Source organism: Homo sapiens, chromosome 1, assembly GCF_000001405.40.
Source record: "Homo sapiens chromosome 1, GRCh38.p14 Primary Assembly".
In the NCBI taxonomy this organism is placed as follows: domain Eukaryota; kingdom Metazoa; phylum Chordata; class Mammalia; order Primates; family Hominidae; genus Homo; species Homo sapiens.
Window position 1 is genome coordinate 115374097 of NC_000001.11, and position 17346 is coordinate 115391442.

Here is a 17346-nt window from a genome sequence, read left to right on the forward strand (position 1 = left end):
TTCAATAACTCCTAAATGGCTACCTGCTTCGATTATTGCCCATATTCATTCTCCTCATAACAATGAGAATGATCTTTTAACAATGTAAATTAGATTTAATCGCATTTCATTTAAAACACCATCCAGCTTGGAAAATCTAGCATTTGCCAATCTCTCTGACTCTCCACACTCTTCCCTCCCCAGTAGCCTATTTCCCATTTCCAATCATCCTGAGCTCCTTCCTGCTGCAGTGTCTTTTGACCTGCTCTTCATCTAGATCCAGGACTAAATGTGTGCCTTTCTTCCCAGCTCTGCATTCAGTAATGTCATGTATGTTAGTGCCTGGAAATTGGCTGTTGTAATTTTACACCATGAAAATCAGCAAACCTACAAATCAAGGCTTTCTTTCTTCTCTTTTGAGAGCGAATTAATCAGGACCCCACTGCTCTTCCTTCAGCTTAACTCAAATGTTACTTTTTCAGTGAGGGTTTCTTTGACTACTGTACATGCAAATGCTATCCCCTTCCACCTCTAGTCAATGTCTAGTCTAGTCACGTTACCTTGCTAACCTCCTTCATAACACACTATTGAAATTATCCATATTTGTTTACTTGATTGTCTCATCCACTAAAATGTGAGCTTTGCGAAGGCAGAGAAAATCTCTGTTTTGTTCACTGCTATGTTTACTGTTCACCTAGAACAGTGCCTGGCACATAGTAGCTGCTCAATAAACACAGTTTGCGTTTTGAATAATCAACCCCTGTCTTGCTTCCACCAATTATCCTCATAACTGACCCTGGTCTGCTCCCTCTGGGTACCCCCTCAACTGTTCTTTTCAAGCTCACTACTCAACCCCTCAACCCTAGAGTCTTCTTTCTCAGATGTCATCATTGCTCATCCCACAGAGCATACAGAGCTCATTGGCTTGCTGCCCTCACCTACCTACAGCTATGCATACCATACTATCTCCCTTTCTTCCCACCCTAGAAAATGGCCTCAGCATTCATTAACCACCTGCTATACAAAGATAAGTACCATACTTCTTTTGTTATCAAGGATATGATGGGCTGATGAGGTACAGAGGTCTCTCTTTTTTCCTTTTGAGACTTCTTCCTACCTCCTGTTTATTCTTGGGTCTTGTTCTTACCTAATTATCTTCTTTCTATTCTGTAATTCCAAATTCTTTTGTTCTCAGATGACTACTTTCTCCCCAGCCTATAACCCTGTGCATATCAAGTCTGTCTTACAAACAAGCAAAGGAATTCCTTGACCTCCTCCCATGTTCAGCCTCTGTCCTCTCTCCCTGAACAGTCAACCTTTGCAAGAATCATCAATACATGCTGTCTCCACTTGCTTACCTCCTAGCCTGTCCTCTGGCCACTGAAATCAGGCTTCTCCTGCTACATCTTGACAGAAGCTTCTTCTAATACGAAGCCCATGAGGTTGTTACTTGTCCAAGAAAGTGGCAGAACTTATTTATATTCAGGCAGTTTCACACTAGAATTTCATCTCCTTATTCAATATGCCTTATTGCCTCCCTTTCATTTTCACCCAACACTGTCTCCCTAAGCAATCTACTCATGGTCTTGGTTTTAACTTCACTTATTATCCTAATTATTCTAAAATCCGTATTGTCAAGGCAACCCTTTCTCCTAATTTCACCTAACCTACTAAGGTGGAAATCTACTCCACTTACGTACAGACACTTTAGACTCAACTTATCCTGCCAAATGACTTCTTCTATTACATTATCCCACTCTTAATTTATTCATTCACTTAACCAGCATCTATTGAGTATCTACTACCCACCAGTAAGTAATAGGAATATAGAGGTAAATAAAAAAGAGTTAGTCCTTGCCACCAAAGAACCTAAAATCTAATTGGCACAAAAATATATATAAATACATGATTACAATGCAACATATTAGTTGCTGTAACAAGCATAAGTATAGTTTGCTATTGAAGCACTTAGGAGGGACATCTAATCCACTTGTGATTGGATTGTTAATTTGTAGGTCAAGAAAGTGTTGTTTTGATTTAGCATAATTTGACTAAACCATTTGATAAAATTTCTCTTATATATTTTTGAATAAGACAGATATTTGGCCAGAGATGAGTGGCTGAAGGAATATTAATGGGGTAAGTTGATTAATAAATTAATACAAACTTAAGAGAGGTAGGAGTCTTTGATACCAGATCAAGAAGCTCCATATTGAGCCCAACACGATGCAATGTTTTCATCCATGGCTTAAATGAAGACATAAAGGCTATGTTTTTCAGCTTTTCAGATGAAACCAAGCTTGAAGGGAAAACTAAAGTGTTTGTTGATAGAACTGGCAAAAATAACTCTGGACAAATAGGAAGCAGGAAGCAAGATGAGATTTAATTGCAAAGTCCTACATTTTAGATCCAATATTCAAATAGACAAACACTAGCTGTAATAAATATTACTTAACTACATATGAAAAATATATAAAAGCTTTGAAGTATAAGTTAGTTATACAAGAATTAAAGAAGAAAGGGGGAGGTGTGGCTTTCTCTGTATTACTACATTGGTCAGGCCATACCAGGAGTTTCAGGAGCTACATCAAAGGGGAAAATTGACAAATTGATATGGGTTCAGACACAGTTATCAGGATAATGAGGAACTCCTTAAGGAAATGATAAATCTTCATTTGGAGAAGACAAAAGAGAAGACGTGAGAAGACTCCTCTGTACTTATTCTGTGTAGGTCTAAAGGGCACTACAAATAGGTGGAAGTTAGATGAAGGAAATCTTTGGCTCAATTAAAGGAAGCATTTTCTAATAATTAGAGATAACTGACAATGAAATGGGCTGCCTTTTTGAAGAGCTGAATGTTTTAACACTGAAAGTTGCAAGCAGAGGCTGGAGAATGTTGGGTGCCTGGTTCAGCTGGTAGTCAGGCTTAATAATATCTAAATGCCCTTCTAACTCTACATATCTTTGGCTCTTCTGGGAGGACCTGAGAAGAAGAAGGAGAGTCACAAACAACACAGTCTGCTAACAGTGAAGGACAGACTTTGCATACATGTACCTTGGAAGGTGCATGTTCTTTGCTCAACCATCTGTGCACACAATTAGAAGCCACTATCAGCGGTGTTATCTTTAAATGTAAAACACACGACATGGATAAAATGTGCACAAATACATTTCTGCTTAAGTAGTCAACCAATAAAATAAATGACAATGGGTTAGAATGACTAAATATATATTTATATGTTTAAATAAGAGACCAGTTCAATTTCAACTCAAGAACACTTTTATAACCCGCTGTGAAAGACGGGGTGGTTTTTAAAAATTGTTTGGTCTTTGTGAAGAGAAGAAGGAAATTAAATGCATAGCACACTATTTAAACAACATCAAGGCTATGATTCAAGAAAACAAAAGGCAGGAAATTCGAAGTTGAGGTGTGATGTGTTCTCCTTCATTCCAGCTGCTATGTCCATTCACAGAGACAGCTGAAAAGAAATTTGGAACACTATGTAGGCACAGTTTTAAAATATATTTACTTAAAAGAAAACATGGCAAAGATATTTCATTCTATTTATGGGGGAAGGGATTAAACACTGACTCATCAGAGTGTCTTAAAAACATTTTACAAGTTCAGAAAATATTTGCCAATTCCTGTTTTACTTACCATGTGTAAATCGGCTGTGTTATTCAGAGACAGATTTTCTAGAAATTGATTGAGTTAAGTGAATCTGTTCAATTTCTCCTGATTTCTAAGGGACTGTGTCAAAATAAAGTATTTGTATCTAGTCTTGTTGAAAGGAGAGCAGAAATTTGAAAGAGAAAACAAAACCTACAGAGAGCATAAAATGCAGGGACAATGCTACCCCTTCTTTTCAGCACTGGTAAAAAGAGAAGGACGAGATGAAGGGATGGGCATATTTGTCTGCTGCCCACTGGATGATGGTATTCTGTTGTAAGATGATGGTTTTCTGTTGTAGCTAAAGATTTTGCTATTACTGATGTGGCCTGAAATCCCTGTCTTGCTTAACAAAGGGATGAGGGGCATGTTTTTAGAAGCCATAGACAGAAATAACATGGAAGAATAAGAACATGATGGATTTGAAAAGAAAACAAATCAAGAATCCTGAAACATATGTAGGGATAAGGCCTGAAACAAGGACCAAAGACAGTTTTGGTTTTTTTAAATTAAAAAAAAAAAAAAGGATGCTGTTAACCTGGAAGGACATATGCATCAAGCTGTCCAGTCCTAGGAATGGATTTGCCTTGGTCTATCCAGAGCCTCCATGGGATCCATCAAGCCTCCTTAGCATGATGTTCAAGACCACTCTCAAGCCATCCCAGCAAGCCTTTGATGCTCCTTTCCCTCATCCTGTCAGTCCTATCCTACACAACAGTCAAATTGGATTACGCATGCTTCCGACCTTGCTTATGTTGCCAACTCTGCCTAAGGTGTCCTTCCATCCTCTTCTATCCAACATTTTGTCCTGAGCACCATCTCAAATGCCACAAAACCTTCTCTTCTGTCTGCCCGAAGTCCAGGCAGCACACTGCTTTATTGTTGCTTAATTCCTTATTGTCCTTACATGGAAAACTATACACTCGTGGAGGACAGGAAGCATGTCTTTTAGATTATTTGCTCATTCTTACCATATTGTATTTGTTTTTGTATCTTCAGTAGTTACTAGAGTGCCTGGTGTATAGAAGGAGTGTACTATGCACTTTAGATGAGTAAATGGAAGATAATGATAAGATAACTGAGTTTATTATTCTTTGTAACACCTAGTTACAAGTAAAACATTGGTATTATGTTAAATGGTTTTTGTTTCAAATCATTAAAGCAAGTTTCATAAGACAGCAGTTTCTTTTTTTTATTTCAATAAGTTTTGGAAGAACAGGTGGTGTTTAGTTACATGAGTAAGTTTTTTAGTGGTGATTTCTGAGATCTTGGTGCACCCATCACCTGAGCAGTATACACTGTATCTAATGTGCAGTCTTTTATCCCTCATCTGCCTCCCACCCTTTCCCCTGAGTCCCTAAAGTTCATTGTATCATTCTTATGCCTTTGCATCCTCATAGCTTAGCTCCCACTTATGAGTGAGAACATACAATATTTGGTTTTCCATTCCTGAGTTGCTTCACTTAGAATAATGGTCTCCATCCAGGTTTCTGCAAATGCCATTATTTCATTCCTTTTTATGGCTGAGTAGTATTCCATGGTGTGTGTGTGTGTGTGTGTGTGTGTGTGTGTGTGTGTGTGTATGCCACAATTTATTTATCCACTCGTTGATTGATGGGCACTTAGGCTGGTTCCATATTTTTGCAATTGTGCTGCTATCAACATGGGTGTGCAAGTATCTTTTTCATATGACTTCTTTTCCTCTGGGTACACACCTAGTAGTGGATTGTTGGATCAAATGGTAGTTCTACTTTCAGGTCTTTAAGGAATTCCCACACTGTTTTCCATAGTGGTTGTATTAGTTTACATTCCCACCAACAGTATAAAGGTATTCCCTTTTCACCACATCCATGCCAGCATCTATTAGTTTTTGATTTTTAAATTATGGCCATTCTTGCAGGAGTAAGGCGGTATCACATTGTGGTTTTGATTTGCATTTCACTGATCATTAGTGATGTTGAGGATTTTTTCATATGCTTGTTAGCCATTTGTATATCTTCTTTTGAGAATTGTCTATTCATAATCTTAGCCTACTTTTTGATGGGATTGTTTGTTTCTTGATGATTTGTTTGAGTTCCTTGTAGATTCTGGATATTAGTCCTTTGTTTAAGACAATACTTTCTAGACTTCACTTTTTTTAAGTATCGAATGTCCATCGAAATAATATGTTATAAGCTTTAAAAAAATGAACTCTTGGGAGGAGTGGGGGATAATTTAGTAACATTGCAGTGCCATGAGGAAGCATTCTAAGAGGGTATACAATGCTGTGGATGCAGAGGTGCACCCCACTTCAAGAGAGGTCCCCACTTCGGGGAAGAACTTCTCCTCAGCCACATGATGTAGTCATCTGGCAGCCTCTAGCTGTCAGCAACTTAGGGCTGCCTCAGCAGCAGAGTTTCCCTGCTAAAGGTCATGCCCTTCCTAGGACTACCCTCAGGTACTCACTAAGTGAGGCGGGAATATGAAAGCTCTGTTATTTCAGCCACCCTGGTCTGCTCTGCTGGGCCGTATTTGCTCCAGAGTTCTTCGTTGAGTTGACCAGGATTTAATTGGGTCTATAATGTGGCTTGACTTCTCCTTCTCCCCAATCCTGCTTTCTCTCCCTTCCTTTCATAGGTATTAGCACCCCAAATTCTGCCTCAGTAGCTGCTTTCAGAAAGAGAAATCTATTACACATAGAAAGACCTGAATTGTCTTTTCCTGGTTGGCCAGGGGAGAGTTAAGTCAGGGAGTCTCAATTTAGGCTTAAATGTTCTAACCATTTGTGTCTGGGGTCATACTCACACAAGCTTATATTGCAAAGGATCAGAATATTAGTATTGTATCATTGTGTAGCACAGTCAGATAGAAATAAGTGTTAGGACAGCATTTTTTTTTTCTTAGTAGGAAAGCATTCAATATTTTACTGTTTTCATTGTTAGGTGTATTATAGGCTGTAGGCTTTTCCTATACACCTTTTAGCAGATTGAAGCCATTCCCTTTTATTCCTATGCTGCTAAAAACTTTTATCATGAATAGGTGTGGAATTTCATCAAATGCTTTTTCTGCATCTATTGAGATAATCACAGAGTTTTTTCTATTTTGGTCTGTTCATATGATGAGCGTTACACTAATCATTTCTAAATGCTAAGTCAAACTGACATTGCTGGGATAGAACTAACTTGGTCTTAATTTCTTATCTATTTTATACATTGCTGGATTGGATTTGCTAAAATTTTTGTTAAGAATTTTGACATCTATATTCAAGCAGTATATTGATCTATATAGTTTTATTCTCTTGTAATGTCTTTGCCTCCTTTTAGTATCAGAGCAATGCTAGCCTCAGAAAGTGAGTTAGAAATTCTTTTCTCTTTTTGTTGCCCAGGCTGGAGTGCGATGGGGCAATCTAGGCTTACTTCAACCTCCACCTCCCGGGTTCAAGCAACTCTCTTGTCTCAGCTTCCCGAGTAGCTGGGATTGCAGGCACCCGCCACCACGCCCAGCTAATTTTTGTATTTTTAGTAGAGACGGGTTTTCACCATGTTGGCCATGCTGGTCTCAAACTCCTGACCTGAGGTGATCAGTCTGCCTCGGCCTCCCAAAGTGCTGGGATGACAGTTGTGAGCCACTACTCCTGGCCGGTTTTAATACTTTTTAAAATGTTTGGCAGACTTTATCAGTGAAATCATCTGGATCTAGAAACTTCTTTGTGAAAAAGCTTTGAACTATAAATTTAACTTATTTTTAAAATTTTTGTTATCATTTTTAGATAATGAGCTATTCAAATTATCTATCTTCTTGCGTAACTTTTGGTATTGTGTTTTTTCTTTCAAGAAATTTTTACAGTTCATCTAAGTTGTCAAATTTATTGGTATCAAATTGTTTATAATATTCTTTTATAATCCTTTCAACGTCTTTAGGATATATATTGATGTCTCTCTTTCGGATATATATTGATGTCTCTCCTTCATTCTTGAAATTAGTAATTTGTGTTTTCTCTTTCTCTTTTCTGATCAATCTGGCTACAGTAAAGTGACCAATGTTCCCAGTTTACCCAGGACTGAGAGGTTTCCTGAAATGTGAAATGTTTGGTATTAACACTGAGACAGTCCCAGGCAAGTCATAATGAATCTGTTAACTTAAACTACAGGCTTATCAATGGGGAAATAACCAACTTTTGGTTTCATAGCTTTTTCTGTTATTACTTGTCCATTTTTTTTATTTTATTGGTTTCTGCATTTACATTATCAGCATCCTTCAATTTACTTCAAATTTAATTTGCTTTTATTTTTCTTGCTTTTTAAGGTAGAAGTTTAGATAATTGATTTAAGACCCTTCCCCCACTCATATAATCATGTAATGTTGTAAATTTCCCTCTAAGCATTGACTTAGCTGAATCTCACAAATTTTGATATGTTGTGTTTTCATTTTCACTCAGTTCAAAATATTTTCTAATTTCCCTTGTGATTTCTCATTTGACCCATGGTTTATTTTTACTTCTATGGTTTAATTTCCCAATGTTTGGGGATTTCCCAGCTAACTTTCTGTTATTAATTTCTGGTTTGATTCTGCTGCAGTAAAGAATATACTTTGTGTAATTCCAGTTGTCTTGAATTTATTAAGACCTATTTAAGTGTCCAGAGTATAATCTAGGTGAATGTTCTATGTGTACTTGAATATAATGTCTATTCTGCTCTAGTTGGGTGATGTGTTCTATAAATGTTGATTAGGTTGGTTGACTAATAGTATTGGTCAAGTCTTCTGTATCCTTAGTGATTCTTTTGTCTACTTGTTCTATAAATAACTGAGAGAAGAATATTGAAATTTCCAATTAAGATAATGGATGTCTATTTCTACTTTCAGTTTTATCAGCTTTTACTTTAAAAAATTTTTATCAGGTGCATATATATTTAAGATTGCCTGTCTGCTTGATCAATTAATTGCTTTATCATTATGAAATGCTCCTCTTTATACTTGAAACAATTCCTTTTTCTGGCATTCTTATATTCACTTCACACTATTTTTTATTGCTTGTATAGTATAGTTTTTCTCATTCTTTTACTTTTAATTTATCAGTGTGTTTATAGTACAGTAAGTATTTCATAGATGATTGATAGTTGAATTTTTCTTTTTTAAAGTCAAATCTGACAATCTCTCCATTTTAATTGGAGTGCTTAGATCAGTTATATTTAACATAATTAGTGATATAGTTGGGTTTAAACCTAACATCTTGCAATTTGTTTTCTACTTTCCCCACCAGCCCTTTATTTTAAAACTTAAGTATTTGTTTATGATTTATGTTTTTTTCCCACTATTGGAAAGGTATAGGCTTTAGCTATGCCTATTTGTTTCATTACTTTACTGGTTGCTCTAGGGTTTACAATACACATTTTTGGCTTATTTTAGTCAAACAGTATTATACTCTTCATGTATATTATTTAATAGTGTTATACCCTTCATGTATATTATTAAAAAAACACTATTATTTAATAGTGTTATACCCTTCACGTGTTATACCCTTCATGTATATTACCATCATTTACTTCCCTTTTACCTCTTTTCTTTATGCTATTGTCATACTTTTTATTTTTACATACTTTATAAACATTACATTATTGACTTTTTTATTATATGTTAAGTTCTAGGGTACATGCGCACAACGTGCAGGTTTGTAACATAAGTATACATGTGCCATGTTGGTTTGCTGTACCCATCAACTCGTCATTTACATTAGGTATTTCTCCTAATGCTATCCCTCCCCCAGCTCCCCACCCCCGACAGGCCCCGGTGTATGATGGTCCCCACCCTGTGTCCAAGTGTTCTTACTGTTCAATTCCCACCCATGAGTGATAATATGTGGTGTTTGGTTTTCTGTCCTTGTGATAGTTTGCTGAGAATAATGGTTTCCAGCTTCATCCATGCCTCTGCAAAAGACATGAACTCATCCTTTTTTATGGCTGCATAGTATTCCATGGTGTGCCACATTTTCTTTATCCAGTCAATCACTGATGGACATTTGGGTTGGTTCCAATTCTTTGCTATTGTGAATAGTGCCACAATAAACATATGTGTGCATGTGTCTTTACAGTAGCATGATTTATAATCCTTTGGGTATATACCCAGTAATGGGATCTCTGGGTCAAATGGTAGAGATACCACTGACCAGAAATGGTTCCAGATCCTTGAGGAATCGCCACACTGTCTTCCACAATGGTCGAACTAATTTACACTCCCACCAACAGGGTAAAAGCATTCCTATTTCTCTACATCCTCTCCAGCATCTGTTATTTCCTGACTCTTTAATGATTGCCATTCTAACTGGTGTGAGATGGTATCTCATTGTGGTTTTGATTTGCATTTCTCTGATGACCAGTGATGATGAGCATTTTTTCATGTGTCTGTTGGCTGCATAAATGTCTTCTTTTGAGAAGTGTCTGTTCATATCCTTTGCTTACTTTTTGATGGGGTTGTTTATTTTTTTCTTGTAAATTTGTTTAGGTTCTTTGTAGATTCTTGATATTAGCTCTTTGTCAGATGGGTAGATTGCAAGAATTTTCTCCCATTCTGTAGGTTGCCTGTTCACTCTGATGGTAGTTTCTTTATTCGTGCAGAAGCTCTTTAGTTTAATTAGATCCCATTTGTCAATTTTGGCTTTTGTTGCCATTGCTTTTGGTGTTTTGGTCATAAAGTCCTTGCCCATGCCTATGTCCTGAATGGTATTACCTAGGTTTTCTTCTAGGGTTTTTATGGTTTTAGGTCTAACATTTAAGTCTTTAATCCATCTTGAATTAATTTTTGTATAAGGTGTAAGGAAGGGATCCAGTTTTAGCTTTCTACATATGGATAGCCAGTTTTCCCAGCACCATTTATTAAATACAGAATCCTTTCCCCATTTCTTGTTTTTCTCATGTTTGTAAAAGATCAGATGGTTGTAGATGTGTGGTGTTATTTCTGAGGCCTCTGTTCTGTTCCATTGGTCTATGTATCTGTTTGGGTACCAGTACCATCCTGTTTTGGTTACTGTAGCCTTGTAGTATAGTTTGAAGTCAGGTAATGTGATGCCTCTAGCTTTGTTCTTTTTGCTTAGGATTGTCTTGGCCATGCAGGCTCTTTCTTGGTTCCATATGAACTTTAAAGTAGTTTTTTCCAATTCTGTGAAGAAAGTGATTGGTAGCTTGATGGGGATGACATTGAATCTATAAATTACCTTGGGCAGTATGGCCATTTTCATGATATTAATTCTTCCTATCTATGAGCATGGAAAATTCTTCCATTTGTTTGTGTCCTCTTTTATTTCATTGAGAAGTGGTTTGCAGTTCTCATTGAAGAGGTCCTTCACATCCCTTGTAAGTTGGAGTCCTAGGTATCTTATTCTCTTTGTAGCAATTGTGAAAGGGAGTTCACTCATGATTTGGCTCTCTGTTTGTCTGTTATTGGTGTATAGGAATGCTTGTGATTTTTGCATATTGATTTTATATCCTGAGACTTTGCTGAAGTTGCTTATCAGCTTAAGGAGATTTTGGGCTGAGATGATGGGGTTTTCTAAATATACAATCATGTCATCTGCAAACAGGGACAATTTGACTTCCTCTTTTCCTAATTGAATACCCTTTATTTCTTTCTCTTGCCTGATTGCCCTGGCCAGAACTTCCAACACTATGTTGAATAGGAGCAGTGAGAGAGGGCATCCTTGTCTTGTGCCGGTTTTCAAAGGGAATGCTTCCAGTTTTTACCCATCCAGTATGATATCGGCTGGGGGTTTGTCATAAATAGCTCTTATTATTTTGAGATGTGTTCCATCAATACCTAATTTATTGAGAGTTTTTAGCATGAAGGGCTGTTGAATTTTGTTGAAGGCCTTTTCTGCATCTATTGAGATAATCATGTGGTTTTTGTCATTGGTTCTGTTTATGTGATAGATTACATTTATAGATTTGCATATGTTGAACCAGCCTTGCATCCCAGGGATGAAGCTGACTTGATTATGGTGGATAAGCTTTTTGATGTGCTGCTGGACTTGATTTGCCAGTATTTTTTGAGGATTTTCGCATCGATGTTCTTTGGAGACATTGGTCTAAAATTCTCTTTTTTTGTTGTGTCTCTGCCAGACTTTGGTGTCAGGATGATGCTGGCCTCATAAAATGAGTTAGGGAAGATTCCCTCTTTTTCTATTGATTGGAATAGTTTCAGAAGGAAAGGTACCAGCTCGCTTTGTACCTCTGGTAGAATCTGGCTGTGAATCAATCTGGTCCTGGAATGTTTTTGATTGGCACGCTATTAATTATTGCCTCAATTTCAGAGCCTGTTATTGTCCTTTCAGAGATTCAACTTCTTCCTGGTTTCGTCTTGGAAGGGTGTATGTGTCCAGGAATACATCCATTTTTTTATAGTATTCTCTGATGGTAGTTTGTATTTCTGTGGGATTGGTGGTGATATCCCCTTTATCATTCTTTATTGCGTCTATTTGATTCTTCTCTCTTTTCTTCTTCATTAGTCTTGCTAGCGGTCTATCAATTTTGTTGATCTTTCAAAAAAAAAAAAAACCTGCTCCTGGATTCATTGATTTTTTGAAGGGTTTTTTGTGCCTCTATCTTCTTCAGTTCTGTTCTGATCTTAGTTATTTCTTGCCTTCTGCTAGCTTTTGAATGTGTTTGCTCTTGCATTTCTAGTTGTTTTAATTGTGACGTTAGGGTGTCAATTTTAGATCTTTCCTGCTTCCTCTTGTGGGCATTTAGTGCTATAAATTTCCCTCCACACACTGCTTTAAATGTGCCCCAGAGATTCTGGTATGTTGTGTCTTTGTTCTCGTTGGTTTCAAAGAACATCTTTATTTCTGCCTTAATTTCGTTATTTACCCAGTAGTCCATCAAGAGCAGGTTGTTCAGTTTCTATGTAGTTGTGCAGTTTTGAGTGAGATTCCGAATCCTGAGTTCTAATTTGATTGCACTGTGGTCTGAGAGACAGTTTATTGTGATTTCGGTGCTTTTACATTTGCTGAGGAGTGTTTTACTTCCAATTATGTGGTCAGTTTTATAATAAGTGTGATGTGGTGCTAAGAAGAATGTATATTTTGTTAATTTGAGGGGGAGAGTTCTGTAGATGTCTATTAGGTCTGCTTGGTCCAGAGCTGAGTTCAAGTCCTGAATATCCTTGTTAATTTCCTGTCTCATTGATCTGCCTAATATTGACAGTGGGGTGTTAAAGTCTCTCATTATTATTGTGTGGGAGTGTAAGTCTCTTTGTCGGTCTCTAAGAACTTGCTTTATGAATCTGGGTGCTCCTGTATTGGGTGCATATATATTTAGGATAGTTAGCTCTTCTTGTTTCACTGATCCCTTTACCATTATGTAATGGCTTTCTTTGTCTCTTTTGATCTTTGTTGGTTAAAGTCTGTTTTATCAGAGACCAGGAATGCAACCCGTGCTTTTTTTGCTTTCCATTTGCTTGGTAGATCTTCCTCCATCCCTTTATTTTGAGCCTATGCATGTCTTTGCATGTGAGACGGGTCTCCTGGATACAGCATACTGATGGGTCTTGACTGTATCCAATTTGCCAGTTTGTGTCTTTTAATTGGGGCATTTAGCCCATTTACATTTAAGGTTAATATTGTTATGTGTGAATTTGTTCCAGTCATTATGATGTTCGCTTGTTATTTTGCCCATTAATTGATGCAGTTTCTTCATGGCATCAGTGGTCTTTACAATTTGGCATGTTTTTGCAGTGGTTGGTACCGGTTGTTCCTTTCCATGTTTCGGGCTTCCTTCCTGAGCTCTTGTAAGGCAGGCCTGGTGGTGACAAAATCTCTCAGCATTTGCTTGTTTGCAAAGGATTTTATTTTTCCTTCACTTATGAAGCTTAGTTTGGCTGGATATGAAATTCTTGGTTGAAAATTATTTTCTTTAAGAATGTTGAATATTGGCCTCCACTCTCTTCTGGCTTGTAGGGTTTCTGCCAAGAGATCCACTGTTAGTCTGATGGGTTTCCCTTTTTGGGTAACCCGACCTTTCTCTCTGGCTGCAAGGGCAACATTTTTTCCTCCATTTCAACTTTGGTGAATCTGACAATCATGTGTCTTGGGGTTGCTCTTCTCAAGGTGTCCTCTGTATTTCCTCAATTTGAATGTTGGCCTGCATGGATAGGTTGGGGAAGTTCTCCTGGATAATATCCTGAAAAGTGTTTTCCAACTTGGTTCCATCTCCCCATCACTCTCAGGTACACCAATCAAACATAGATTTGGTCTTTTCACACAGTCCCATATTTCTTGGAGGCTTTGTTCATTTCTTTTTACTCTTTTTTCTCTAAACTTGTCTTCTCACTTTATTTCATTAATTTGATCTTCAATCACTGATAACCTTTATTCAACTTGATCAAATCAGCTATTGAAGCTTGTGCATGCATCATGAAGTTCTCATGCCATGGTTTTCAGCTCCATCAGGTCTTTTAAGGTCTTCTCTTTATTCTAGTTAGCCATTCGTCTACCCTTTTTTCAAGGTTTTTAGCTTCTTTGCAATGGGTTAGAACATGCTCGTTTAGCTTGGGGAAGTTTGTTATTACCGGCCTTCTGAAGCCTACTTCTGTCAACTCTTCAAAGTCATTCTCTGTCCAGCATTGTTCCTTTGCTGGCGAGGAGCTGCGATCCTTTGGAGGAGAAAAGACACTCTGGTTTTTAGAATTTTCAGCTTTTCTGCTCTGGTTTATCCCCATCTTGGTGGTTTTATCTACTTTGGTCTTTGATGTTGGTGACCTACAGATGGGGTTTTGGTGTAGATGCCCTTTTTGTTGACGTTGATACTATTCCTTTTTGTTTGTTAGTTTTCCTTCTAACAGTCAGGTCCCTCAGCTGCAGTTCTGTTGGAGTTTGCTGGAGGTCCATTCCAGACCCTGTTTGCCTGGGTATCACTAGCAGAGGCTGCAGAACAGCAAATATTGCAGAACAGCAAGTATTGCTGCCTGATCCTTCCTCTGGAAGCTTCGTCCCAGAGGGGCACCCGCCTGTATGAGGTGTCTGTCAGCCCCTACTGGGAGGTATCTCCCAGTTAGGCTACACGGAGGTCGGGAACCCACTTAAGGAGGCAGTCTGTCCATTCTCAGAGCTCAAATGTCATGCTGGGAGAACCACTGCTCTCTTCAGAGCTGTCAGACATGGACATTTAACTCTGCAGAAGTTTCTGCTGCCTTTTGTTCAGCTATGCCCTGCCCACAGAGGTGGAATCTGTAGAGGCAGTAGGCCTTGCTTAGCTGCAGTGGGCTCCGTCCAGCTCGAGCTTCCCAGCCACTTTGTTTACCTACTTAAACCTCAGCAATGGCAGACACCTCTCCCTCTTCCTGGCTGCAGCTTCGCAGGTCGATCTCAGACTGCTGAGCTAGCAGTGAACCAGGCTCCATGGGCGTGGGACCCACCCATCCAGGCAGGACCCGCCATACCAGGAGAGGATCTCCTGGTATGCCAGTTGCTAAGACCATGGGCAAAGCACAGTATTTGGGCGGGAGTGTCCCGTTTTCCCAGGTAGAGTCTGTCATGGCTTCCTTTGGCTAGGAAAGGGAAATCCCCCGAAGCCTTGCACTTCCTGGGTGAGGCGACAGCCCGCCCTGCTTTGGCTTGCCCTCTGTGGGCTGCATCCACTGTCCAACCAGCCCCAGTGAGATAGACTAGGTGCCTCAATTGGAAATGCAGAAATCACCTGTCTTCTGCATCAATCACTCTGGGAACTGCAGACTGGAGCTGTTCCTATTTGGCCATCTTGGAACAGAAGCTCCAGGACCAATACACTACTGATTTTGTTTTAAACCATCCATTTTCTCTTAAATGGATTTTAAAAATCAGAAAATTATCTTCATATTAAGCAGGTGAAATCTTTATTCCTTCAGTCCATAGCAAGGTGCATATTTATAATAGTTGTTTTAGTGTCTTTCCTGTTAATTTCATCAACACTGTTTTTTCTAGTTCTGCATCTATTAGCTGACTTTTGACCTAGTCATGGGTCATTTTATTTCATTTTTTTTTGTATCTTAGCAATATTAGAGTAGATGCTAGATACAGTGAATTTTATATTGTTGAGTGCTGGATTTTGTTGTATTTTAAACAGTGTTGAATTTTTGTTGGCAGGCAATTCAAAGATTGGTTGATTACTTTGGACTGTTTCTATCATGGAAGGGGTAGTGTTTTGTCCTTCCTGCAATAGACACTTAAAATGAATATAGATATGTCTTCCCTGATTGCAATGATTCTGCCAAAACTATCATCCATGGACTTACAGAATGCCTTATCCACCGTCATTCTACACAGCATTGCTTTTGGCCAAGGAGCTCACTTCACAGCTAAAGAAGTGCAGCAGTTGACATATGCACATAGAATTTACTGGCGTTACTATGTTTCCAGCATCCTGAAGCAACCGGTTTGATATAATAAAGAAATGGCCTTTTGAAGACTCCCTTACAGTGCCAGTGAGGCAGCAATATTTTGCAGGGCTGAAGGAAGGTTCTCCAGACTGTATATGCTCTGAATCAACATCCAATATATGGTACTATTTCTCTGATAGCGAGGACTCACAGATTCATGATCAAGGGATGGAAATGGGAGTGGCATCACTCACTATTACCACTAGTGAACAACTAGCAAAACTTTTACTTCCTGTTTCTACAACCTTATGCTCTTCCGTCCCAGAAGTCATAGTTTCAGAGGGAGGAATGCTTCTACCAGTAGACACAACAATGATTCCATTAAACTGGAAGTTAAGACTGCCACCTGGCCACTTTGGGCTTTTCGTCCCTCTGAGTAAACAACCCAAGAGGGAAGTTATGGTTTTGGCTGGGGTTATTAATCTGGACTACCCAGGGGAAACTGGACTACTCTTCCACAATGGAGTTAAGGAAGAGTATTCTAGAATAGAGGAGAATCTTTAGGGTATCTCTTAATATTACCATGCCCTGTGATTAAGGTCAATGGAAAACTATGACAACCTAATCCGGGCAGGACTATGAATAGCTCAGACCCTGAGTAATTGAAGGTTTATGTTACCCCACCAGGTGAAGAACCATACCCAGCTGAGGTGCTTGCTGCAGGTAAAGAAAATACAAAATGGGTAGTAGAAGAAGGTAGTTATAAATACCAGCTACAACCACATGACCAGTTACAGAAATGAGGATTACAATTGTCATGAATATTTCCTCTTTATTTTGTTAGAAATACATTTTGTATGTATATATACATATGTTAGGCAAATATTTTTCTTTTCTTTACTCTCTTATTTCCTTATTATGTAACATAAGATGTATTGACTTTGTATCAGTATTTAAGCACTGTTAATTTTATATTTTAGTATTTAAGCTACAGGATATCAGGAGAAGACTAAACAACACTCAAGAACTACTTTCTTTTCTAGGTAAGGAATTTGTGCATTTTTGGCTGTATGAAAAATAGTTGTAACATGTTAAGTGGAATGATTAATGTTATGTTATTACCTTATCTAGAGATTGAATATGCTTTAAGTAGATGCATATGGGTGCCAAGTTGACAAGAGACTGCCTTGTGATGATTTATTTTATGTGTCAACTTGACTGGGTTAAGGGATACCCAGATAGCTGGTAAAACATTACTTCTGGGTGTATCTGTGAGGTTATTTCCAGAACAGATTAGCATTTCAATCAATGGACTGAGTAAAGAAGATCTGAGCTCCCAATGTGGGCAGACATTATTCAGTATGTTGAGGTCACAGATA